The sequence below is a fragment of the Homo sapiens genome, chromosome 13 (assembly GCF_000001405.40).
Source record: "Homo sapiens chromosome 13, GRCh38.p14 Primary Assembly".
Lineage (NCBI taxonomy): Eukaryota > Metazoa > Chordata > Mammalia > Primates > Hominidae > Homo > Homo sapiens.
The window spans coordinates 60,613,735-60,638,599 of NC_000013.11; the positions used below are offsets into that span (position 1 = coordinate 60,613,735).

The window sequence follows — 24,865 nt, forward strand, 5'->3', positions numbered from 1 at the left end:
TGGCTTCTTCGTTTTCACCAATCCCACCTGCCTGTTCTGCCTGTGATCCAAGGCAAGAAACTGTCAGTTTGTGTCTTTCCCCAGGATGGATGTGGCTCCCCGCCATGTCAGCTAATTGACCACCTTGAACTCCCCATTTTCAACAGCTTGTTCTGGCCAAGGGGAAGTCCTAGAGATCAGGTTGGGACTCAAAGCACCCTCTCAGCATGTACTCCTACTTGAGGCCAGGTCTACACATCATGTATCCTCAGCTCAGCTTCTGTCCATCAGAGCAGGGTATCACTTCTGACCAATGGTTTTGTTCTCATCAGTCTCTCCTAAGACGCACTCAGAGACAAGGACTTTATTATTGCTTCAATTACTCTATCTTACAGGACACATCTAAGAATTAAAATATTCTTATGACCAGGTTATGTTAACCACTCCAAAATACTCTCTAATTTACTGTAACAATCCAAAATGTAACAACTCAAACATAATGAACAGGAGTTTCATTCCTTCTTATTCTAATGTGTAATAATTACAGAACTTTAATGAATCACCTATATAGAGATAAACCATATCTTAATCTTGTAGGAGCAGTTGAGTGATGTGCCTTAGATCACATACCTAGTAAGAGAAGAGCTGTGCTTCTGCTTTGGGCTAACCCAAAGCTCGTGGTCTTTCACCCACAACACGCTGAGTGGTGCTAGCCCTCCTTTTTGTCTTTTTACATGGCCCCAACCCATGTTATGTAAGAAGGGTAGGGTCCTTCTCAAACAGAGGTATGAGAGAAAGGAGGAAGGGAGCAAAACCATCTCTTCTGCTGCTGTTGATCCCTTAAGTCAATCAGTAAATGTTTCTTTCTGTTTCTCTTTGTCTTTCTGATATCTGAGTCTTTTTCGGTGTTTTATTCAAAGTCAAGCTTTCTGGCTTGATATGAATCCTGTCTAGACCATAAATAGTCATCCCCTCTAATTTCTTCATATTTTCCTAATGCTTTCTCTTGCTCATGTTGTGGTTCGCAGGTTTGTACAGTTTCTTCTATGTTGGGCTAACAGTTCGCATAGGGAGTTTTGGCTTTCCCCAGAATCCCTAAAAAGCTCTCCGGTCCTCTCCCTTGTTTGCATACAAATCAACTAGTATTTTAATTTTTTTTAAACCTCACCTAGGTGTAAATTCTATCCAGACTCCCATTCAGGAGCACCTCTTTCTGCCCAGGACCCTAACAATGTATTTTGTTTGGATCATGGAGCCCTTTCAAAACTTCTTTCTGGGTGTCTGGAATTTAAAAGTAGCCTGATGGTTACCCTTTCATATTTTAAAATTTTATCTAATTTGTGCAGTTCTCATTCTATTTTCTCTTTTCCAGTGTGTGGTTATTCCCTAATATATGTTAATTCATATGCTTGTAATTTGGGTGTTATTTTATTATTTGAACTCATATGCCTGCCATTTAGAATTTATCTTCTGTCATTCTGAAGTCTTTGCACATTATTCCAGTTTATTGTAATGTACAAATTTCATCAGATATGTTATATGTTCCTTTTCCATTATTAGTATTCGGTGTTTTTGGGTCTTTGAGAGGCTCAATGCCAGGAAAATCCCAGGGGAAGACAAAACGCATGTGCCCAGTAGGACTTGTTGAAAATGATTTCAGATGAGTAACATTGTTTTTTTTTTGACATGGAGTCTTGCTCTGTCACCCAGGCTGGAGTGCAGTGGCATGATCTCTGCTCACTGCAACCTCTGCCTCCCAGGTTCAAGCAATTCTCCTGCCTCAGCCTCCTGAGTAGCTGGGATTACAGGTGACCGCCACCACGCCCGGCTAATTTTTGTATTTTTAGTAGAGATGGGGTTTCACCACATGGTTCAGTCTGTTCTCGAACTCCTAACCTCGTGATCCACCCACTTCGGCCTCCCAAAGTGCTGGGATTACAGGCGTGAGCCACCACGCCCGGCTCAAAGCAATTCTTAGAGGAGAAAGGAGGATAAAGGCATAAGGAGTTGGGGGTGGTGGTGTGTGACTTGTGAGATTGAGAATCACTAAAAGCTGTAGGTGAAGGGGAAGGTCCACAGTGCATTTCAAGGTGACAGAAATAAAAGGCGGCTCCACTGGTCAATGTTACATCTTGGAAGTCAAGAGGCTAAATCTGCTCCTGGTATTTAGTTGTGCATATTGATTATTAACAAAATAATACATGTAATTCTTAACAAAATATTAGAAGCCTCAATAGCAGAAAAATAAAATCTATTTTAGAAAAACTTAAATCCTGAGAAGGGAAAAAAAAAATAAAGTGATAGACAAGTTTTTACACAGAACAGACATGAACACGTTATCTTAATCTCCCGGAGGCTTTGGGCCATTTTAATTCTTTTCCAACTTACAAATTACCTTAACATTTCTAAGGGACACAGATGTCTTACATTGATAAGTAGAATGTCAAGCATCACTTCCAGTAACAGGAAAAGAATCCACCGCCTTTAATTTTTACGTCTAATTGACTTCAGTTCAGGTGTAGTCAAATGTATATTATTTCTTAAATTGACACCTTCCATTTCAGATGTCTTATTTTATATGTGTCAGAGTCACAGGTGTGAAATTAGTCACTGGGAAGGCTAACTGTTCCGGATTCTTTTGACCTTATGGCTGGAGGGAATTTAATTGTAACCTCATAAAAAGAAAGGAATTCTGGCCACTAGGGAAGATGATTACATGGTCATTGACAATGTGAACTTGAATGGCTACATTAGCTCTTTAATTATAATGAATCAAGAAGAAACGTTCAAGGTTGGAAAGGAGGCACCTGGTAGGGGATAAGGACAGGTAGTTATGCAAATGGTATCAACACTTACAGAATGAAGAGACTGGAGCTTCTTTGAGCCAGTTTGAAGATTTCAGCCAAGAGAAGTGCAAGACTCACAAAAGGTTCAGTGTCATTAAAACTACTCTGTCAAGTGGCACACTTCTATTCAGTAAATTGCAAGCTGGGGTTTTTCTTGGCTAGGAAGGTGGCTCAGTTCTCTTGTCTCCCTTGAATTGTTCATGCTAATTTTTTTCCGTCTTTTTTTTTCTTCCCTTTTTTTCTTTTTTAGTCTGTGTCTTTCTACGTTGCCCAGGCTGGGCTTGAGCTTCTGAGCTCATGTGATCCTCCTGCCTCTGCATCCCGAATAGCTGAGATCACAGGCGTATGCTCTTCATGCTAATTTAGTGTTAGTTTCCCTAAATGTGAATGGAGGGGGAAAGGAAAATAAAATAGCTGAAATCAATAGAGTATACCAAAAGCTCCCAGTAACCAAGTTTTCTTCATATAAGTTCTCATAATTTAAAAAAAAAATTGTTCCGTTTTGTTTTTGTTTTTTAGTCTTAGCTCTGGCTTTAACTTCTATCATCTCAAAGCACCTAGGGCTCTTCTTAATGCACAGAACATACTCATTAAGACTAAATAAATAATGATTGAAGGAATGGATAATTATGGGAACATGAATGTTATAAAGGAGAAATAAAAGCAACTCAAAATGGAATTAAAGGAAACAGATTCAGTATTAGATCTCAATTTACATACCTATTATAACACTAAAAATAGATGTATTTCTTGGAATTCTTTAAAGAAAGTCTGTTGAGAACACTTGTGAGATAATCATTTTTAGTCAGAGATGACTTAATTAAGGTAAGGATATATAAACAGCTTTTACCACCCACAGGCAAAGTACTGTTGTTTGTCAGAATAATGAAACTGGTTTCTGTTTATAGAAAACCAGACAGTCCTCATTGGAGTTCCTTCTTCTAAACAATGGAAAAAAAATGCCCCTGTGAAAAAATACATTTTCTTAGGATGTAGAATCATTACCTTGGGTGGTATGTTTAGGGAGAGAACAGTTATTCCTCACTGCTAATGCTTCCTTCCATGTGGCTAGAACTTCTGTTAGAATCATTTCCCTCTGCCTCTCTTGTTACTTCTCTCCGGGGAAAGAGGTTTTATTTGATATGAAAATTTGGGAGAAGACACTGAGCCTCACCCTCTTCTCCAGTGCCATCCTGCCCATAAGAAACCCACATTATTGGTTCCTCTAGGCCAGTCTTCTCAAAATGTGTTCTTGGGCCAACAGTAACAGCACCTGGAGACGTGAGAATTTGTTACATAAATGCCCAAGATGGCCTCTGTATATTGGGCCTATTATTTACTCCCTCACAGGAGGCTGGGAGCAGTGAGCTCAAAAGCCGAGCAGTGCCCAACTCAATGTTTACACACCCAGTTGTTTTAAACATAGCCCAGATAAGTAGGTTCTTAGCCATTTAGATACTTCTTGTTTTGCCTACCCTGTGAAACTGCACCTGACATCTGCTAGCCATTGACAGGAGAAATCCTGCTTCTATACCAAGACTCCTAGCTCTGCTACCCTTGGGAGCTCATTGACCCAGAGACTCTGCTGGGCTGCTGAGGGTACCACTTAGTAATTGTAGTTCTCCCCTCTGATTCCCTCTCTCTCGGGAGTTCCCTTGTCCTCTTTCTCTTGGAATGGTCTCATGCTCTGAGAAACTTCTGCCAGGAGCGGACTTCTCAGTGTCACCCAAATAAAGCTTGCTGTGTGTTAGTGCCCTCTCATGGCCACAACATTTCATCAGCTCCCAAACCCCTGGAACTCACTCCAGAATTCCACATTTTCTGATTTTACCTCAGATCTATCGAATCAGAAACTCTTGGGTCGGGCCCAGTAATCTGTATTTTAATAAGCCTGGCAGATGATTCTGTTGCCTGTGGGAGTCTGAGAACAACTGCCTCAAGTTTTATAGGGGGAGGGCCCCAGTGGGGAGGCCTACAGCTCTCCACTATATGTGCTGTGACCTGGCAGGTAAGTTTCTATATTACTTATCTGTTGCTGTGTAACAAATTGCCCCCAAAACTTAGTGGCTTAAAACCACACACATTTACTATCTCACAGTTTTTGTGGGTTGAGAATTTAGAAGCAGTTTAGAGGGGTGGTTCTGCTCAGGCTTTCTCATGTGGGTATAGTCAAGGGGGTTGGGGCTTCAGTCATCTGGGGGCTTGAGGGCTGGATGATCTGTTTCCAAGGTGGCTCAGTCACGTGGCTGTTGGCAGGAGGCCTCAGTTCCTCACCATAAGAGTGCCTCCACAGGGCTGCTTGGGTAACCTCATGACCTGGCAGCTGGCTTCTCCCAGAGAGAGAGAGATCCATGAGAGAGCAAGACAAGTCATAATGTCTTTTGTGACCTAGCCTCAGAAGTCACATTTGTCATTTTCACAGTATCCTATCAGTCCTATGAGTCAGCCATATACAGCATGGAACAGGGCTCCACAAGGACATGAATACCAGGTGGCAGGGATCACTGGGCCATCTCTCTAAATCACGAATGAAACATTTGCAACCTGTGTCTCCCAAACATGATATGTCTCAATCATCAAAGGTAATATTTTACTTCTGTTTATGCCCATGCCTCATTTGATTGGGGAAAAGCAATGTTTTTTACTAACCACCTCAAAACCCAACATGTAAAAATTATAAATCATGGTGACCTATTTTTTGAATAAACTGTTGATAACTAATAACTTATATATGATCTTTAATATATATCTTTAATCTTTTATATCTATCTTCATATATCTCAATATATCTTTAATCTTTATATATATGAATATATATCTTTTTGAATAAACTATATATCTTTACCGGGATGTCCCACAGCACCTCAAGGACAAAAACTCCTGATCTATCTCACTGTGTTAGTCTACTTTGAATTGCTATACAGGGGTATCTGAGGCTGGGCAATTTATAAAGAGAAGAGGTTTATTTGGCTTACAGTTCTGTAGGCTGTACAAGAAGCATGGTACTAGCATCTGCTCAGCTTCTGGTGAGGTCTCAGGAAGCTGACAATCAAGATGGAAAGTGAAGGGTGAGCAGCGTGTCACATGGTAAGAGGGAGCAAGAGAGGAAAGGGGAAGTGCCAGGCTCCTTTAAACAACCAGATCTCATGTGAATTAACGGCAAAAGCTCACTCATTACTGGGAGGAGGGCACCAAGCCATTCATGAGGGATCCACTTCCATAACCCAAACACCTCCCACTAGGCCCATCTCTAACAGTGGGGATCACATTTCAACATGAGATTGGGAGGAGATGAATATCCAAACCATACCACCTGGTAAACCTATTTTTTCTTTATTTCTTTTTAAAGTAAAGAGCACCACTATCCACCCAGCTGCCCAAGTCAGAAACCTGGAAACCTGACTCCTTTGCCCCAAGTCCTGTTACTCACTGAGCCCTGCTTATTCGATCTCTTGAATGGCTCTCAGATTGGACCACCTCTCTTCTTCACCAAAACAGTCTCTCAACAGGATTGTTGCAACAATCTCCCCAGCTGTTCTCCCTGCCTTCCATGTGAAAAATAGTGTAGAGGCAGGACAGAGTGGAGGCAAGGAGGCCAGCTGGAGATATCATGTCAATCCAGTTGACAGAGAAAGTTGTGATGATGGAGAGGGCTAGACCAGTCTGAGAGTGATTCAGAAGATAAAATGAACAGGACTCCCTGATTTCTCTAAAGTGATATCTTCTTTCAAGTCTTTGATGGTTCTCCTTTGCCCTCAAAGTGCCAATTCTGAGAAGGCTTTGTGAGACCTTCATAGCTTGGCTTGATTTACATCTCCAGCTTTCTCTTTTAGATACTATCCTGAGCCAGTCAGAACTTGTTAAATCCAACATTGCCTATTTCCACTCAACACCAAACCCTTTTTGTATACTTTCTCCTCCACCTGAAATGCCCTTTGCCCCACCCTCTTCACTCAAGGAGCTTTTATATGTTCTTCAGGTCTTGGTTTAGATGTTTCTTTTTTGGTGGGTGTGACCTTTTGGGACTTCCAAGTTTGGATTAGAAGCCTTTTTATGATCTCCAGCCTTTTTATGATCAGCATGGGGTAGTTAATCATAGCACTTGCTAATATTGAAATGTCAATTTACTTGAATCTCTCCTCTACAAAACTGTACAGTGCTTGAGGCAGGGACCGTGACTTATAGACTTTTTTATGCCAAGTCCCTGCCATATGTTTGGCACTTGATATCATTTGTTGAGTGAATGAATGCTTTTATACTTATTATTTAATGTCTTCTGCTTATTATCTTAGTGGGGGGTCGTTTTGTTGGTTGTCGTCTCATTTGGTTTATGTTCTGTCCTCCCTCCTTCCCACCCCCATACTTCCTTTCCTCTTTCTACTTCATTTCTTTTCTTCATACATTCCCAAATATTTGTTGAGCTCCTACTGTATACCAGCAAGTGCTTCTGTAACTTCTGTTTCTTCACACCTTCTGTCCTGGATTTCTCTACTTGCTGTTGTTTTTAATTTTTACTAGGAAAGGGGATAATTTTTAAGATCCTTCTAACCTGTGTCTAACCTTGTAATGAAGATAGTGGACAATGCTTGAGATGCTTGAAATACTACTCTAAATGCTCAGGGATGTGGTCACTTGACCACGGTGATGCACAAGTCTGACTATTTTCTTAAACACATAAAAATACTTGGGTGAGCATATTTACTGGGTTCCTTCTAGAGGAACATATTTATGAAGAAAAGGACACTAAGGTTATCTGCAGTACTTCACAGTGTGTGGGTGGATGTTAATGTGGCCGTCTCCAATCACAAATTATAGGGGACTTACCTGACAGTGGTGTGCTGGTAAATTGGCTGTCTGGAAAAAAAAAAAAAGCCCTGATGTGTAGCATTTGCCAGTTTTCATGATATAAATACTCCCCTCCTGGCTGATTTCAGGCTACTAATATGACATCACTGAATACGGAGTTGGGAGGTGATAGGGAGAATCGGCTCATTGCTGCTAAATCAGGGGCATGGTTTCCAGGAAGAGAGTGCTGGACAACTATTGTGAGGTTGTCTAGTGTTTTGTCTCCTTTTCTGAAACTTGTCCTAACCATGGCACAGTTGACACACAGATTATTCTGACAGGAATAATCGGAATAATCAGAATGATGGGAATAATCAGCTCAACTGGGCTGAGGAATGTACTTTCTAGATTTGGAATTGGTTTGGCTAGTTTCATGAATAGAGAAGATATAAATTGGGAATTAGTATTGAGACCATTTCCTTCAGATGGGCTTAGAACAGAATAAACCCACCTGCAGCAAGAAAGAAGCAGCAACAGGAGATGGAGAGAACAGAATGTCTGGGTTTGTACAGCTCTCAAGCAGTGCCTCTGTCTATGGAGCTGTGAAACTCCCTTGGCCTCTTGGCTTCTGCTAGCTCCATCTTATTTGAAAATCAAGATCTTAATAGCACAAAGAATCTGGCTGAAAAATAACAATATCTTTCTTTTCTAATTTATCTCCCAACCACCTATCCAGAAATTAACCTCTGAAATAATAAATCCTTGATTATAGATTTAAAAGAAATGGTTCTTATAGATAAGAAAATCTCTTTCACAAGAGCAACTTCCAATAGGCCAGTGGTTTTCAAAGCATCTTTCCTGGACCCTTAGGGTCCAAGAAACCCTAGAACTCTGTGATGTCTTGGGGACTAGAAAAACGAGTACAGTGGACAGAGGTCCAGACTCCAATTGCAACATCACCTGAAGCAGCTCTGGGCTTATGTACTTTAGAAAGATGTTCCATTTGCAATTGTATTCATACAGTTTTCCCTGCTGAAGCCTTAGGTAAAATTGAGAAGAGGTTGGCTTGCCTTCTGTGTCCTTAGCTCTCCCTTTCTGCTGCTGCTTTCCTCCTAGGCACCTGGCCTCACCCTCTCTTAGAATCTTCCTGTCACTGCCTCTTGCAGAAGCAGCTCTCAGGAAAGGGCAGATAACTTGCAGTACATGAGGATGAAACTAACTGATAAGTCTAAAGGTGTTAACTTTGTAATACTGTCTGCATCTCAGTGGAGGACAATGTAAAGCCCAGGGCAGAAGCCGTAGTCATAAAATTTCAATCATCATCCAAGAGGTGGATGTGGAAATGAGATGTGGGTAAGATGGAAATATTTTCCTGCAACTTCGGAATTTTCCTTGTAGACAATGAACTCTTTGGGGCAGTCATGAGGTTCATTTCAGAGTCAAGGGCATGAATCCTCCTTACTCAGGAACTGGATATGAGATGGAGTGATTTTCAGTTTTTTTACTCTGGTTTCGCTTAGACAAAGTACTTGCATTCCTAGTATTAGCATTTTATTTTTTAAGTTTTGTTTTTCAATAGCAAATATAAATGAATGCGCTGAGCTGGGGTATGTCTGCTTACTTTTTTGAAAAACAAAACTAGTCCTCAATGATATTTAGTACTTTTCTTGGCTCAAGATGTTAGATTGTTTTTTAATAGATCTCATAGTTCTCTAAGTGGAGGTGGCACACCTAAGTCACAGCACTAGGGAGATAATCAACAGGAAGATGGATATGTGAATTTGGAAAAAATCCAAAACTCAAAACAATACCTGAGGACACCTCTGAGCATAATCATTGATATAAATTTGTGAAGCATGGTGCCTCAATGTGGAGGGCAGAATAAGGTGTAGAATACACTTTGGCTGAGGAGTTCTAACATGCCTGAGGCTTCAGATGGAATAAAACACATTCCTCAGAAACCTCCAGGAGAGGAGGAGGTGTGACATTTCCACACATGTCTAAAATGTGGAAATTACCTGGATTCCCATAGGTTTTCTTACTGACGTTAGGGACTGTAACCACATGTAATAGGATTTTATAATGAGCACATTCCCTTTGAATGTGTTCACTGTAACCCCTAGATTATATTATGTATAACCTAATTAACAGGATATCAAGTAGATTTTCAGTTAGTACACTAAAGGCAATTACTACTTAAATACTCAACAGTTTTAGGGAAAAATAGAAAAGGTGATTTCATTGGTACATAAATATATAACATAAAATAACATGCACTCTTTCTTGTGTCCTGACTTTTGTTTTTCGTTTGCCATTGAATCATTTGGCTCTGACATTTTGCTATGAATCTTGTTTAGCTGGTAATTGCTTTCACTCAAATGGGCCATTTATATATGAATTTCATTTTAATAAAATTTTCTCTCTGATAAAAGTCTCTTGTTTGCCTATCTTATAGGCCAAATTTTGTTCAATTAATAATCTTTTTTTTTTCACATTTCTTTAAGGCTTTCTTATAGATTTCCTTTTTTTTTTTTTTTTTTTTTTTTTTGCATGGAGTCTGGCTCTGTCGCCCAGGCTGGAGTGCAGTGGCATGATCTCGGCTCACTGCAAGCTCTGCCTCCTGTGTTCACACCATTCTCCTGCCTCAGTCTCCCAAGTAGCTGGGACTCCAGGCGCCCACCACCAGGCCCGGCTAATTTTTTTTGTATTTTTAGTAGAGATGGGGTTTCACCGTGTTAGCCAGGATGGTCTCGATCTCCTGACCTTGTGATCTGCCCGCCTCGGCCTCCCAAAGTGCTGGGATTACAGGTGTGAGCCACTGCGCCCGGACATAGATTTTCTTTTACAGCTTTTTAGTGTCATGTTATTTGGTGGTGTGATTTGATCTTTTTTTGTGAAGTTTGTTTTTTTTCTTTGCAATGATGGGATTTTCCATTCTTCTGTTTATCTTTCCTGTTTCCCTGCCACTGAGTGCAATTTTTTCATACCTGTACAACTACATGTTTTAGAATTTGACACTACCTCTCATAAGATTTTGGAAGACTACAAGAGCGAAGATTGCCTAACATAAAATGTTTGTCATGGTCAGAGCTTTCTTTTTTAATAAGGTCAACGAACATGTCAATTAAGCCTTTGCTTCTCTTCTTCCCCATGCCAATGGGATGGAAATAGCCACCAAGATGAGCCAGAATGGGCAATTTTCTGAATATCTACTAAGTGCTGCTGGAATAGAAAACCCATATGCCATTTCCTTTACTCTTTATAATAATCTCCAATGTGAAGTAGCAATATCTTCAGTTCATTCATGAGTGGTCTCACATGGGTATCAAGAGGATCACACAAATTTCCTGGTGCTGGGCATTTTCTTGCATGTTTCTATATACATCTTAAAAGCTGTCATAGCCGGGCATGGTGGCTCATGCCTATGATCCCAGCACTCTGGGAGGCCGAGGTGGGTGGATCATATGAGGTCGGGAGTTCGATACCAGCCTGACCAACATGGAGAAACCCCGTCTCTACTAAAAATACAAAATTAGCCGGGTGTGGTGGCACATGCCTGTAATCCCAGCTACTCAGGAAGGCTGAGGCAGGAGAATAGCTTGAACCTGGGAGGCAGAGGTTGTGGTGAGCTGAGATCACGCCATTGCACTCCAGCCTGGGCAACAAGAGCGAAACTCCATCTCAAAAAAAAAAAAAAAAAAAAAAGCTGTCATAGATGTAAGCTTTAGGCAAACTCACAGTACTTCTGACAGCCTGATGTTCTGGCTGCTGCACTATTTCTCAAATGATTTCTAAATATTGGTGGTACCTTTGATTTGTTCCTTTCTTTTTGTGAATGGGGGCTTGAATAAATTGAATTAAAAGGAATTTGTCATAAACAGCTGCTATTTGTTAATATTTCCCAACTGATTTTGCTCAGTAGTAGAGATTTCTAGAACTAAATATTTAGGATCTACTGGCCTTGATTTGTTTTACAGGTGGATCAATTGTTTATTCATGTAACAAATATTTATAGAGAACTGACTGTGTGAAGTTATTTGTTATTTCTAACTGTTGTCATCAAAAGAGGATGAATCCTAACTGGAAAGACTAACAGAGAGTCATATTTCTCTAAAAAGAAAGAAGATACAGGGAGATGAGGTTATGGATGAGGGTAGTAAGATGAAGATTGGAGGGTGCATGGGGGGAAATGGTCTGGATTTGTTGGCTAGAGGTTGCCAGGGACTTCTGGAGGAAAATATATGTTTAATTTTCATGGAAACATCCAGGCTAGGCATTATTAGCCCTTTTAAAGTTGAGGAAATTGAGGCTGCTCAAGGGACACAGTTACATCTGTATAAAACTCCATGCCATCATGGTATGGTGTCTGGGAGCGGGGGGCACAAAGGTGAATGTGGGATAGAGATGTCTTCTTCTGAGCCACAATATGACATGTTTCAGGAGTATTTATAAAGTATCACATACAGCATAAACCCTCTTTTGTGTCACCACAAAATCAATAATGAAATATTGTGAATGAGAAAAGCTATTCTATGGGGTGTATGAATATAATCTTGTGAATAAATTGAGTTTGGGCATTTTGGATTATGCCAAAGGTCCTTAGTCTTGCATGAGGGTGGTACTGGAGGAAAAATGAAGCTTTGAGAAATAAAATGTTTGCCAGAGCTTGAACTCACATCTGCTGAGCTGGAGGCTGCTGTTTGTAATGCCCGTGTTTGGTCCAGAATATGTTAATAGAGTTTACCCACAGGTTTCCCCAGAAGTACCCCAATCATGGGCTGGGCACTGTGGCTCATGCCTGTAATCCAGCACTTTGGGAGGCTGATGCAGGCGGATCACCTGAGGTCAGGAGTTTAAGACCAGCCCCACCAACATGGTGAAATCCTGTCTCAAAATACAAAAATTAGCTTGGCGTAGTGGTGCATGCCTGTAGTCCCAGCTACTCGGGAGGCTGAGGCAGGAGAATCGCTTGAACCTGGGAGGCAGATGTTGCAGTGAGCTGAGATAGCGCCATTGCACTCCAGCCTGGGTGACAAGAGCGAGATGCTCTCAAAAGAAGAAGAAAAAAAGTATCCCAATCACTCTGGGAGCTCCAAGGACACTGTGGCCACATGTGAGGAGGTCCCAGGGCTTACAGGAGCAATTGTGGAAGGAATAGACTGCTATCCTTAATTAAAAACAAAACAAAACATTGACCAACCAGTTAATGTTCTTTTGTGTTATTCATGAGAAATTCAACTGTATTTTGTAGGTGCTTTCTTTTCACATTGAGATGTCCTACCTATCAAATAACCAATCTGCAAAGATTCATTAAACAGGAAAGGGATGATTGTAGAGTCTTGATAGTTGCATGCAGCACTGAGGCACCTTTTTAAAAAAAATGATTGAAATACGTGGTGAAACCTCAGTTAACAAGCCACAACCATAGCTGCTTGTTCCTCAAGTCTAGTTTTAAAACCCCATTTATGTGGAATAATTGCCTTCTTTTTATTCACGGTAAGAATGATCTCACCAGCACCATTGGCATCCCCTGACTGCTTGTTAGAGATGGAGGATCTCAGGCCCCACCCAAACCTTCTGAATTAGAATCTGCAGTTTAACAAGGTCCGCAGGTGATTCCTATGTACATTACAGTTTGAGAAGCACTGCTCTAAGGCAATTTTAGGCTCTGAGGTAGATTAAAAAATACCAGGAATGTCTTCGCCCTGCCTGAGCTTGCGTAAATGGCAATTAGTTGAAAGCACATGAATTAGAAATTAACAAAAGGCAGTAAGAGTTCCGTGCCAAGCCAGTGGTACCCACAGAAAAGGCTGTAAGTGTTGGGAGAAAGAGCAATCACATCCAATTAGGTCTACCAGGGAAGATTTCAAGCCGGCTGCTGCCTTCTGGTATTTCAAATTCTTTTAACTTCCAGCGCGTGCCATAGACCCCTGTAGCCCTAGGGGGCAGTGTGGTATAGTAAAAAGCAGTTTGTGTCACCTCCCCAGTGTTGTTACTCTGTGGTAGCCCTGGGATCTTGGGAGACCACTCAATCCCCACTGAACCTCAGTTTCCTGAGGAATAAAATAAAATACACTTTCCTTATAGGATTGTTGTAAAGATTCAAAGCCAAATGCACATAATGTCTAGCACATATCAGGTCCTCAATTTCTCCCTTTCCCATCTTCTCTTTTGTCTAATCCATAGTTAACGTAATTCGTAGTTACAATGAAGAAAGCTGTGCTATTTATTGCTGTCCAAGCATGTTCACATGTTATGTTAAAGCAAATACATCTAAAAGAAGCTGTCAACGGTGGCTGGCTCGCTAGATAGCTAAGTTTCCTAACAGGTAGTGCTTGCAGAAGAAGTAATCTAACCAAGTGCTCATGATGGTTTATAGGAATTCAGAAGATGGCTTCAGCCTTTTGCTTATTTTCTTACCTTTCAAGGTAGTGTTAAGCCCGGAGCATGGCTATGTTGCAGTGGTGAGAACCTCCATAGGCCTAGATCTAAAGCAGTAGTTCTCAAGCTTTGATCGTACGTTGGAATTTCCTGGGGATTTATAAAAACTCCTGGTGCCTCAGATAGCTTCCAGACCAACAGAATAGACTTTCAGGGGTTGGAAAGCTAGTTAAGAAAGCACACCAGGTGATTTTAATGTGTTGTCAAGGTTGAAAACCATTATAACCCGTGCATTACAGGCTTAGTACCACTATAAACCATTCATTACAGGCTTAGTACTTAAGTGTAAGCAAGTAAGAGACTTCTGCCCCAGTGGTATGGCTTCCCTGTCAACAAACACATACGGTTCTTGTGGCTTCTGAGAAAATTTTAAGTTTAATCTGTTTAGAGTGTGACAGTTGAAAAAGAAAATCAAGCTCAGCATTATGTATCCCAATGTTACATATTTTTTTTCCAGCTTTAAGTGGGGTCCTTGGGTCCTTGCTGGTTTCATTGTATATTTTTTATAACATTTGGAATACTTGGTACTATCAAGTTTATTTGCTTAGAAATTTGCTTGCATTTCTAGTTTCTCTTTATCTCTTTATGATACAGACATTGCTTATCCTCAATCTTTGGGGAGGGACTGATTTGTTTTCTCAATATTTGTATGTTTTCTACATTTTTATGAATCTTCCTTGGGTATTTTCAACAAAATTAATCAGTAAAGACACTTAAGATCCATCAAGTGCAACTTGGGCATGTTAAAACACACAGTTCGGTGTCAGTGTGACTCCGAGCTCCTTCTGTAACTTAAAGTCTGGGAAGCAATAAACATGTTTGATTCACGTGCTGTGAATGGAGATAATGAGACTCTCTTCCTCCCAGGACCGAAGTGAGGATTAAACCAGTTAATTCTCACAAGAGTTACAAACAGTGCCTGGTACCTAGCAAGCACTCAGTAAGCATTTGTGTATTTTATTATTCCAGGAAGCAGGGTCAGAATGTAACCAATATATTTGGAAATGGGGTCATACAGTAGCTGGCTATGATAGCAAAAGGCTTTAATTCTTTATCTTTATAAAAATTTGAGAATGTTAAAGAATAAAATAGTGTGTCACAATTTATTATCAATAATTGAAAGAGTTTGTGGCAGTTCTGACACCTTCTGGTGGTTCCACGTGTTTTCCCTGGTGGAAGGTATATGCATGGACATGGCGTGAGCCATGTTGCCAGTGTTACGATTAGCCAAGAGATATTTATTTTTATTTTTTAATTTCTGTAGAACTTATGAAGACAACAGAGAAATCTGTTGAAGTAACTAAAGCATCTTTAGAGAATGAGAACTATAGATATTTTGACATATTACTATTTTATAAGGTTATCTCCACATCTAATTCATCAACATCATATTCTACCTTCAAAACAGATTTTAAATCTGTTGACTTTGTTGCTGCGAACACCGCTCAATCCTAGTTCTACCCTCTGCTTCTGTTCCAATCTAGGACTACCAGTAATTAACTCCCTGTTTCTACAATGTACTAAATAGCAGTCCAAGTGGTCTTTTAAAGCACAAATGGAATCCTGTGGCTTCCAGGATTAAACCCGTTTCAGTTCTTTGGAGTGCTAATTGCCACCTGCTATGTGGAAGAGGACACCCGTGACAGCTCCATCTTCCTTCTAGTACCCTAGCAGTAAATGGTGTTCAGTGCAAATTTTTACACGTATGCTAAAATGACCACAATAATTCTTTAATTGTGTTTGGAGTTTTACAGAGGGTATGTATTTTCCTATATAATTATATTTATTTTTGTTCATGTTAGGATCTGAGCTAGTTTTAATAAATATAGATGATACACATGAAAGGTACAAAGCAAATAGTGTGTGTTTTCAGATGGTCCGTGTTTTAATTTTAGTTTTAGAGAGATAGACCATACACACAGAATATTTAATATTATTCATACAGTTTAAAAGTAACAAAACAAAATACAATAATACAGCAAAATATCAATTTTGAATGTCCTTGTAAATACCTCCATAATCTCATCCCTTTCTTCTCCCCTTTACAAGGTAACTGCAATTCAGAATTTTGTATTTATTATTGGCTTGCTTTTTTTCTCTTTTGGTTTTTGAGTGAATATACTTTTTTCCTTTTTCTCTTTTTTACTTAAATTTTTAAAAATTGTATACAATACAATTATAAATATATACAATGCAATTATAAATATATACATCATGTACAACATGATGCTTTGAAAGATGTGTATGTTGTAGAATAGCTAGATCAAACTAACATAGTGCCTTTCATCATTTTTTGGGTATGAGAAGACTTAAAATCTCTTAGTGACTTTTAAGAATACAATGCATTATCATTATAGTCACCAGGTTGTACAACAGCTCTCTTGAACTTATTCCTCCTGTCTAACTGAAATTTTGTATCCTTTGACCATCATCTTCCAAACCTTTCCTTCCCTCCACTTCAGCACCTGGTAACCACCATTTTACTCCCTGCTTCTGTGAATTCAACTTTTTTAGATTCTATGATTGAGAACATGCAATATTTGTTTTTCTGTATCTGGCTTATTTTGCTTAACAGGATGTCCTCCAAATTTATTCATGTTGTTGCAAATGACAGAATTTCCTTCTTTTTAAAGACTGAGTAGTATTCCATTGTGTACATATACAACATATTCTCTTTATCCATTCATCCACTGACAGAAACTTAGATTGCTTTTGTATCTTGGCTATTGCAAATAATGCTGCAATGAACACTGGGGTGCAGATATCTCTTTGACATATTTTATATCCTTTGGATGTATACCCAGAAGTGAAATTGCTGGATCAAATGGGTAGTTCTATTTTCAGTTTTTGGAGCAATCTTCATACTGTTTTTCATAATGGCTGTACTAATTGACATACCTACAAACAGTGTACCATGGTCCTTTTTCTCCACATCCTTATCAACACTTGTTATCTTTTTTGTGTGTGTTTTGTTAGAATAGTCATCCTAACAGATTTGAAGTGATACCTCATTGTGATTTTAATTTATATTTCCCTGATAGGGTGATATTGAGCATTTTTTCATATACCTGTTGGCCATTTGTGTATCTTCTTTTGAGAAATGTGTATTCTGTTTTTTTTTCCTGTTTTTAAAATTGTGTTAATTTGTTTCCTTGTATTGAGTTGTTTGAGTTATTCATATCTGTTTGATATGAACCCCTTATCAGATGTTTGCAAAAATTTTCTCCCATTCCATAGATGTTGTCTTCACTCTGTTGATTGTTTCTTTGCCTGTGCAGAGCTTTTTAGTTTGATGTAATCCCGTTTGTCTATTTTTGTTTTTGTTGCCTGTGCTTTTGGGGTCATATCCAAAAAACCAATATTATGAATCATTACCCTTATGACTCATAGTAGTTTTACAGTTTCAGGTCTCACATTTAAGTCTTTAATCCATTTTGAGTTGATATTTGTATGTGGTGTAAGGTAAGGGTACTATTTCATTCTTTTGCATATGGACTTCTAGCTTTCTCAACTCCATTCGTTAAGACGATCCTTTCATCGGCCCGGCACAGTGGCTCACACCTGTAATCCCGGCACTTTGGGAGGCTGAGGCGGGCAGATCACCTAAAGTCGAGAGTTTGAGACCAGCCAAGCCAACATGGAGAAACCCCGTCTCTATTAAAAATACAAAAAAATTAGACGGGCGTGGTGGTGCATGCCTGTAATCTCAGCTACTCGGGAAGCTGAGGCAGGAGAATCGCTTGAATCTGGGAGGCAGAGGTTGCGGTGCGCTGAGATCGCGCCATTGCACTCCAGCCTGGGCAACAAGAGCAAAACTCCATCTCAAAAAAAAAAAAAAAAAAAAAAAAAAAATCCTTTTCCCATTATGCATTCTTGGCTCTTTTATTGAAGATCAGTTGACAATATCTATGTGGATTTATTTCTGGGTGCTGTCTTCTGTTTCATTGGTCTATGTGTCTGTCTGTATGTCAGTACCATACTTTGAAAAATAACTGTAGCTTTGTTACATATTTTGAAATCAGGAAGTATGATTTCTCCAGCTTTGTTCTTTTTCAAGATTGTTTTGGCTACTCATTTGTGGTTCCATAAGGATTTTAGAATTTTTTTTTCTATTTCTATGAAAACTACCATTGAGATTTTGATATGGATTACATTGAATCTGTAGATTGCTTTGGTAAATATGAACATTTAAATTAAGTCTTCCAGTCCGTGAACACAGAATGTCTTTTCATTTTTTGTCTTCTTTAATTTATCTCATCAATGTTTTGTAGTCAGTATATAAGTCTTTCAACTCTTTAAATTTATTCCTATTTTATTCCTTTGATGCTATTGTAAATGGGATTGTTTCCATTATTTCTCTTGCAGTTCACTGTTACTATATAGAAACACAACTGATTTTTATATATTGATTTTATACCTTGCAACTTTAATGAGTTCACTTATTGGTTATAACGTGTGTGTGTGTGTGTGAGCGTGTGTATGTGTATATGAAGTCTCTGGGGTTTCCTATATATAAGATCATGTCATCTGCAAACAGGAACAATTTGATTCCTTCGTTTCTGATTTAGATGGTTTTTATTACTTTCTTGTGTAATTGCTCTGGCTAAGACTTATAATACTATGTTGACTATAAGTGGTAAGAGTGGGCATCCTTGCTTTGTTCTTGATCCTTGGCTTTTCTTTATTGGGAGTTTTTTTTTTTTTAATTACAGATTCGATCTCCTTACTAGTTATAGATCTGTTCAGATTTTCTATCATGATTCAGTATTGGTAGGTTGTATGTTTCTAAGAATTTACCATTTCTTCTAGATTATCAAGTTGTTTGGCATACAATTGTTCATAGTAGTTTCTTTTTATTTCTGTAACATAAGTTGTAATGTCTCCTCTTTTATATCTGATTTTATTTGAATTTTTTCTCTTAGTCTAGCTAAAGATTTGTCAATTTTGTTTATCTTTTCAAAAAACTTAGTTTCATTGATTTTTTTTCTATTGTTTTTCTACTCATTAATTCCTAATATTTATTATTTTTCTATCTGCTACTTTTGGGCTTAGTTTGTTCTTTCTCCCTGACTAGTTCCTCAATCATAAAGTTAGGTTATTTATTTGCAGATCATTTTTTTTTAAATGGACATCTAGTTTTTCCAACTTCCTTCATTGAGGGAAGACTGTCCTTTTCCCATTGTATATTCTTGGCTTTTTTTGTTGAAAATCAGTTGACTATATATGTGGATATATTCCTGGGCTGTTTCTTCCATTTCATTGTCTATATGTACATTTATTACTATAAACTTCTCTCTTAGTACGTTTTGCTGCATCCCATAGGTTTTGGTATGTTGTGATTTGTTTGTCTCAAGATATTTTCTAATTTTCCTTTTGATTTATTTTCTGACCCACTGGTGTGTGTTGTTCTATTTCCACATATTTTTGCATTTTTCAGTTTTTCTTCTATTGATTTGTAGTTTTATTCCATTGTGGGTAAGAAGAGATCCTTGGTATTTTAATATTTTTAAGTTAAGATATATTTGAGACATAACATAATTTTTCCTAGAGAAAGATCCATGTGCACTTGAGAAGAAAGTGTGTCTGCTGCCGTTGGGTGGAATGCACTACATATGTCTGTTAGATTCCTTTGGTCTAAAGCAATAGTTCAAGTGTGCTGTTTCCTTACTGGTTTTTTGATTGGATGTTTTTATTGAAAGTGGGGCATTGAAGTCTCTCACTATTTTTATATTGTCATCTATTTTCTCCTTCATTTCTGCCAGTGTTTTCTTTGTACATTTAAGTGTGTTAATGTCGGGTTTCTATATATTTATAATTGTAATATTATCCTAGGAAACTGACCATTTTATCATTATATAATATCCTTCTTTGTCTGTGATAGTTTCTGACTTAGTCTATTTTTTTCTGATACTAATATAATCACTCCTGCTCAATTTTAGATGATTTGCATGAAACATCTTTTTCCATCCCTTTATTTTCATCCTGTATTGGTCCATAAATCTAAAGTGAGTCTCTTGTAGATGGTATATAGTTGGATCTTGTTTTTTTTTTTTTTTTTTTAAAAACATTCACCTGCTCTACATGATTTCAGAATTTAACTTATTTAAATTTAAAGTCATTATTTATAGGAAAGAACTGAATTTAAAATAGAACAGTCTATTTTAAGCTGATAACTTCAATTGCATACAGTTTCTCTATATTTTTACTTCTCACCCCACTACACTTTGTTATAGATATCTCTATTTACATTTATTTATGCTTTGTATTCATTAACATATTTTAAAATTATAGTTATTTTAATACGTTTATCTTTGCCTTTTATACTGGAATTAAAAGTGACTTGGCTAGGCATAGTGGCCCACGCCTATAATCCCAGCACTTTGCGGGGGTCGAGGCAGGTGGATCACCTGAGGTCTGGGGTTTGAGACCAGCCTGGCCAACATGGTGAAAACCCCATCTCTACTAAAAATACAAACAATTAGCTGTGTTGGTCGTGGGCGCCTGTAATCCCAGCTACTTGGGAGGCTGAGGCAGGAGAATCACTTGAACCCGGGAGGTGGAGGTTGCAGTGAGCCGAGATCGCACCACTGTACTCCAGCCTGGACAACAAGAGCAAAACTGTCTCAAAAAAAAAAAAGTGACTTATTCACTACTGTTACATTAATATAGCATTCTGTATAGGTTTATATATTTGCTTTTACCAATGTTGTTTTATACATTCTTGTGCTATTGTGTTTCTGCTTAATGATTGTTCCATGTTGAACTCCCTAGTATTTCTTATAAGGCGGGTCTAGCGGTGATGCACTTCCTCAGCTTTTGTTTGGCAAAGTCTTTACATCTCTTTCATTTTTAAAGGATAGTTTTGCCAGGTATATTCTTTTTGATTGGCAGTTTTTTTCAAGCATTTTAAATATATCATCCCACTGTCTTATGGACTGCAAGGTTTGTGCTGAAAAGTTTGTTGATATTCTTTTGGGGGTTCTCATGGATGTAAAAGTTGCTTTTCTATTGCTTCCTTCAAAATTCTTTGTGTTTGACTTTTGATAATTATAACATGTTTTGGTGTGGATTTCTTTAGATTTATCTCATTTTGGATACTTTGGGCTTCATAAATCTGGATCAATTTCTTTCTCAAGATTTGGGATGTCTTCAGCCATTATTTCATTTGAATAAGCTTTCTGGTTCATTCTCTTTTCTCTTTCTGAAACTCCTGTACTTCTAATGGTCCAGTTGATGATGTCCTGTAAGTCCCTCAAGTTCTTTTGCTCCTCTGACTAGATAATTTTAAATGACCCATCTTTTAGTTTGATGATTCTTTCTTTTGTTTGTTCTAATCTGAAGCTTGCTGTAGTGTCAATTAGCTTCTTGATTTCTCACAATGGGAATTGATCCATGTATTGCTTTTAAATTGATGTGTCTATGGGGGAAAAGGAAAATTTAGAGCTTCCTATTCTGCAATTTTGCTAATATCTTGGCTTGCTTTTTAAAAATGCATTTACTACATAGGTATGATTTCCTGAGTAATATATTTGTCTGATTATACTTTTGACCTGTGTATAAATGGAATCACACTATATATATTCTTAAGTGTCTAGCTTTCTTCCCTCAACATAACTTTTGAGATTCACCTATATTGATGAATGTAGGTGTATTTAATTTGCTTTTACTGCTGTGTCATATACTGCTGCATAAAGGTAACACAATTCATTTTTGCATTCTACTCTTGTACAGTTATGTTTTCAGTTTTTTGGTATTGTAAATAATACTCTTACAAACATTTTTAGGTATATCTTGGTGGACATATATAACAGCTTCTCTAAGATTCATATGCAAATAAAATGGCAGGGTCATGAGGCATGCATATATTCAACTTTAAAAGATGATGCCTAAATATTTTACAAATTGTATTAATCTAAACTCGAGCTAATAATGTCTTCAAATTTCTTTTGTTTTACATCTTAGCCAATGTGTTTACATTTTTATCTCAGAATAAAATGATGTACTATAGTGGTTTTACTTTGCTTTTTCTTGATTAATAAAGAGTGTGAATTTCTTTTACATGTTTGATGGCCACTTGTGCTTCCTTCTCTCTGATATGCCTGTTAATATAATTTGACCATTTTAATATAGGGTAATTTGTCTTATTCTTAGTAACTTACAGGCATTCTGTATGTATTCTGGACACTAACCTTTTAACAATCACAGATGCTGCAAATATCTCATAGTCTGTGGCTTGTCTTTCACTGCCTTTATGGGGTATGTGTGTGTGTGTGTGTGTGTGTGTGTGTGTGTTGTCAGCTTTTTGGAATGAAATTCTTACTTTAAATGCAGTTTGATTCACTCATCTTTCTTTACAGTTTGCATTTTTGAGTCTTTTAAACAAAATTCTATCTTACACCGAAGCCATAAGATATTCTCTCATATTTTTTCCTAAAAGTTGTACCTTTTATGTTTAAGTTCTTGATCCACCTGGAATTGATTTTTGTGAATAGTAAAGTGGGTATTTGAATCAATTTTTCTCCCCATATGAGTTACAATCACTTGTTTTTCAGTCCATTCTTTCCTCATTAACTGTAGTGGGTAGCACTGTTTTATATCAGGTATTAACATACACGTGGCCTATTTCTGGGCTCTCTATTCAGTTTCGTTAGTTTGTTTCTTGTGTCAGTATCATGGTGACTAAATTACTACAGGTTTATACTAAATAAATATCCAGGGGGGACAAACATTTCAAATTTTTTTTTCTGTTAGGAGTGTTTTAGATAGTCTTAGATCGTTGATCTTCTATATAAATTTCAGAATCACATTTGCAAATTTCAGAAAATACACTGGTAGACTTTTACTGCAGTTGCATTGAATCTACAGAATATGTTGGAAAGATTAATTTTTATAATATTGTTTACTTTTGTCCACAAACATGGTTATAAATTTATGTGTTTAAGTTTTAAAACTTTTTTCTTTTGCCTCAAAAAGTGACATTTATTTAAAGAAAAAAAAATGACAAGATATTCATCCCTTGGCTCCCTTCCCTACCCGCTCCTGCTGCTTCTCAGCCCCCCAAGATTGAACGCTGGCTGGGGCTAAGTAGCAAGACAGCCCCTCAGATGAGGTCAGCAACATCGAGGGGCATTTCCTCAATGGAGGTGTTGTAGAAGGTCCTGATGTCTCGAAGAGTCCTCTTGTCTTCTTCTGTCACCATGTTAATATCCGCATCCTTAAGGTCAAACCATCTACCTCGACTGATTCTGTGGATATAGTTTTGCCTGTTGGTGGGAAGGTTATATTTGATGACTAAAGAAAGTCGTTGCATATCAATATTTCTGGGCAGCAGGTCAGTGGTAATCAATACTCTGCTAGAGCCAGAATGAAACTCCTTCTGATCACATCGCGTTCCTTTTGGTCCATATCTCCATGCATGGCAGAGACGGTGAAATCTCGAGCATGCATCTTCGCAGTGAGCCAGTCCACCTTCCTTCAAGTGTTGATGAAGATGACTGCCTGGGTGGCAGTCAGGGTTTTATACAAGTCACACAGTGTGTCCAGCTTCTACCTCTTATTCCACGTTGATGTAGAATGAGCAGACACCCTCCAAGGTCAACTCTTCCTTCCTAACAAGAATCCGAATGGGGTCCCTCGTGAACTTCTTGGTCACCTCAAGCACATCAGAAGGCATTATAGCTGACAGCAAAACAACCTAGGTGCTGCTGTTGAGCTTTTGGAATATGTCTTAGATCTGGTCCTTGAATCCATGGCTTAACATTTCGTCAGCTTCGTCCAGTACAAACATCTTGATGTATTTGGGAGACAGGTATCTCCGGTTAAGCATATCAAACACATGACCAGGAGTACCCACGATGATATGGGGAGCTTCCATCTGCTGTTTCTATACCTCAGCACACACGTTGGTGCCCCAAATACAGGCGTGACAGGAGGCACCCATGTAGTCTCCTAGTGTCATGACCACCTTCTGTATCTGCTGAGCCGATTCTCAACTGGGTGCTAGGACCAAGGCCTGGGTGGCCTTTAGATCTAATTCAATCTGCTGCAGAATCGATATGGCAAATGTGGCCATTTTCCCAGTCCCAGATTGGGCTTGAACGATCGCATCATAACCCTTGATACAAGGTAGGATGGCTCACTGCTGGATGACAGAGGGCTTCTCAGAACTGTAGATGTACATGCCATGGAGGAGGGACTCTGAGAGGTTCATGTCATCAAAGCTGTCGTCAACCTCATTCCAGTTACTCTCAATGACGTCTCCAGGCTCCATCCCATCAGGACCATGGTCTCTGGAATCCTGACTCACAGACATGATCCTTAGAAACTCTAAAACTATTTTTATAATTGTCTAAATAAAGATCTTCCACAACTTCTGTTAGATTTATTAGTAGGCATCTTTTTATTGCTATTTTAAATAGCATTGTTTTAAAAGTAGAGTTTTCGGCCAGGTGCGGGGGCTCATGCCTGTAATCCCAGAATTTTGGGAGGCCAAGGCAGGCAGATCACGAGGTCAGGAGTTCAAGACCAGCCTGGCCAATATGGTGAAACCCTGTCTGTACTAAAAAATACAAAAATTAGCCAGGCGCAGTGGCCCACAACTGTAGTCCCACGTACTCAGCAGGCTGAGGCAGGAGAGTTGCTTGAACCCGGGAGGTAGAGGTTGCAATGAGCCGAGATTGTGCCACTACACTCCAGCCTGGTGACAGAGTGAGATTCCATTTCCAAAAAAAAAAAAAAAAAAGTAGAGTTTTCAAACTGTTACTGGTTTACTGAAATGCAATAGAATTTTATATATTGATTTTATATCTAGCAAC

At 38.6% G+C, this 24,865-nt stretch overlaps 1 long non-coding RNA gene and 1 pseudogene across 1 annotated transcript, besides 2 other annotated features; both read right to left on the minus strand.

Moving 5' to 3' along the window:
* Positions 2,999-5,159, minus strand: LOC105370230 (uncharacterized). The gene is made up of 3 exons (XR_007063921.1): positions 5,100-5,159; positions 4,000-4,098; positions 2,999-3,202 (listed from the first exon to the last, which is right to left on the minus strand). It is a non-coding gene; the product is annotated as an uncharacterized LOC105370230 (long non-coding RNA).
* Positions 15,276-15,955: an enhancer, noted in NCBI's record as "OCT4-NANOG hESC enhancer chr13:61203144-61203823 (GRCh37/hg19 assembly coordinates)". NCBI's record gives its function as "activates a minimal SCP1, AML or CMV promoter by ChIP-STARR-seq in naive and primed H9 embryonic stem cells {active_cell/tissue: H9 hESC(naive and primed)}" and the evidence as "EXISTENCE:reporter gene assay evidence [ECO:0000049][PMID:30033119]".
* On the minus strand, positions 22,985-24,377 carry EIF4A1P6 (eukaryotic translation initiation factor 4A1 pseudogene 6; annotated as a pseudogene).
* Positions 24,071-24,231: a silencer, noted in NCBI's record as "fragment chr13:61211939-61212099 (GRCh37/hg19 assembly coordinates)". NCBI's record gives its function as "represses an EF-1alpha promoter that drives an FKBP-Casp9 reporter gene in an ReSE screen in phorbol 12-myristate 13-acetate-treated (for megakaryocytic differentiation) K562 erythroleukemia cells {active_cell/tissue: K562(+PMA)}" and the evidence as "EXISTENCE:reporter gene assay evidence [ECO:0000049][PMID:32094911]".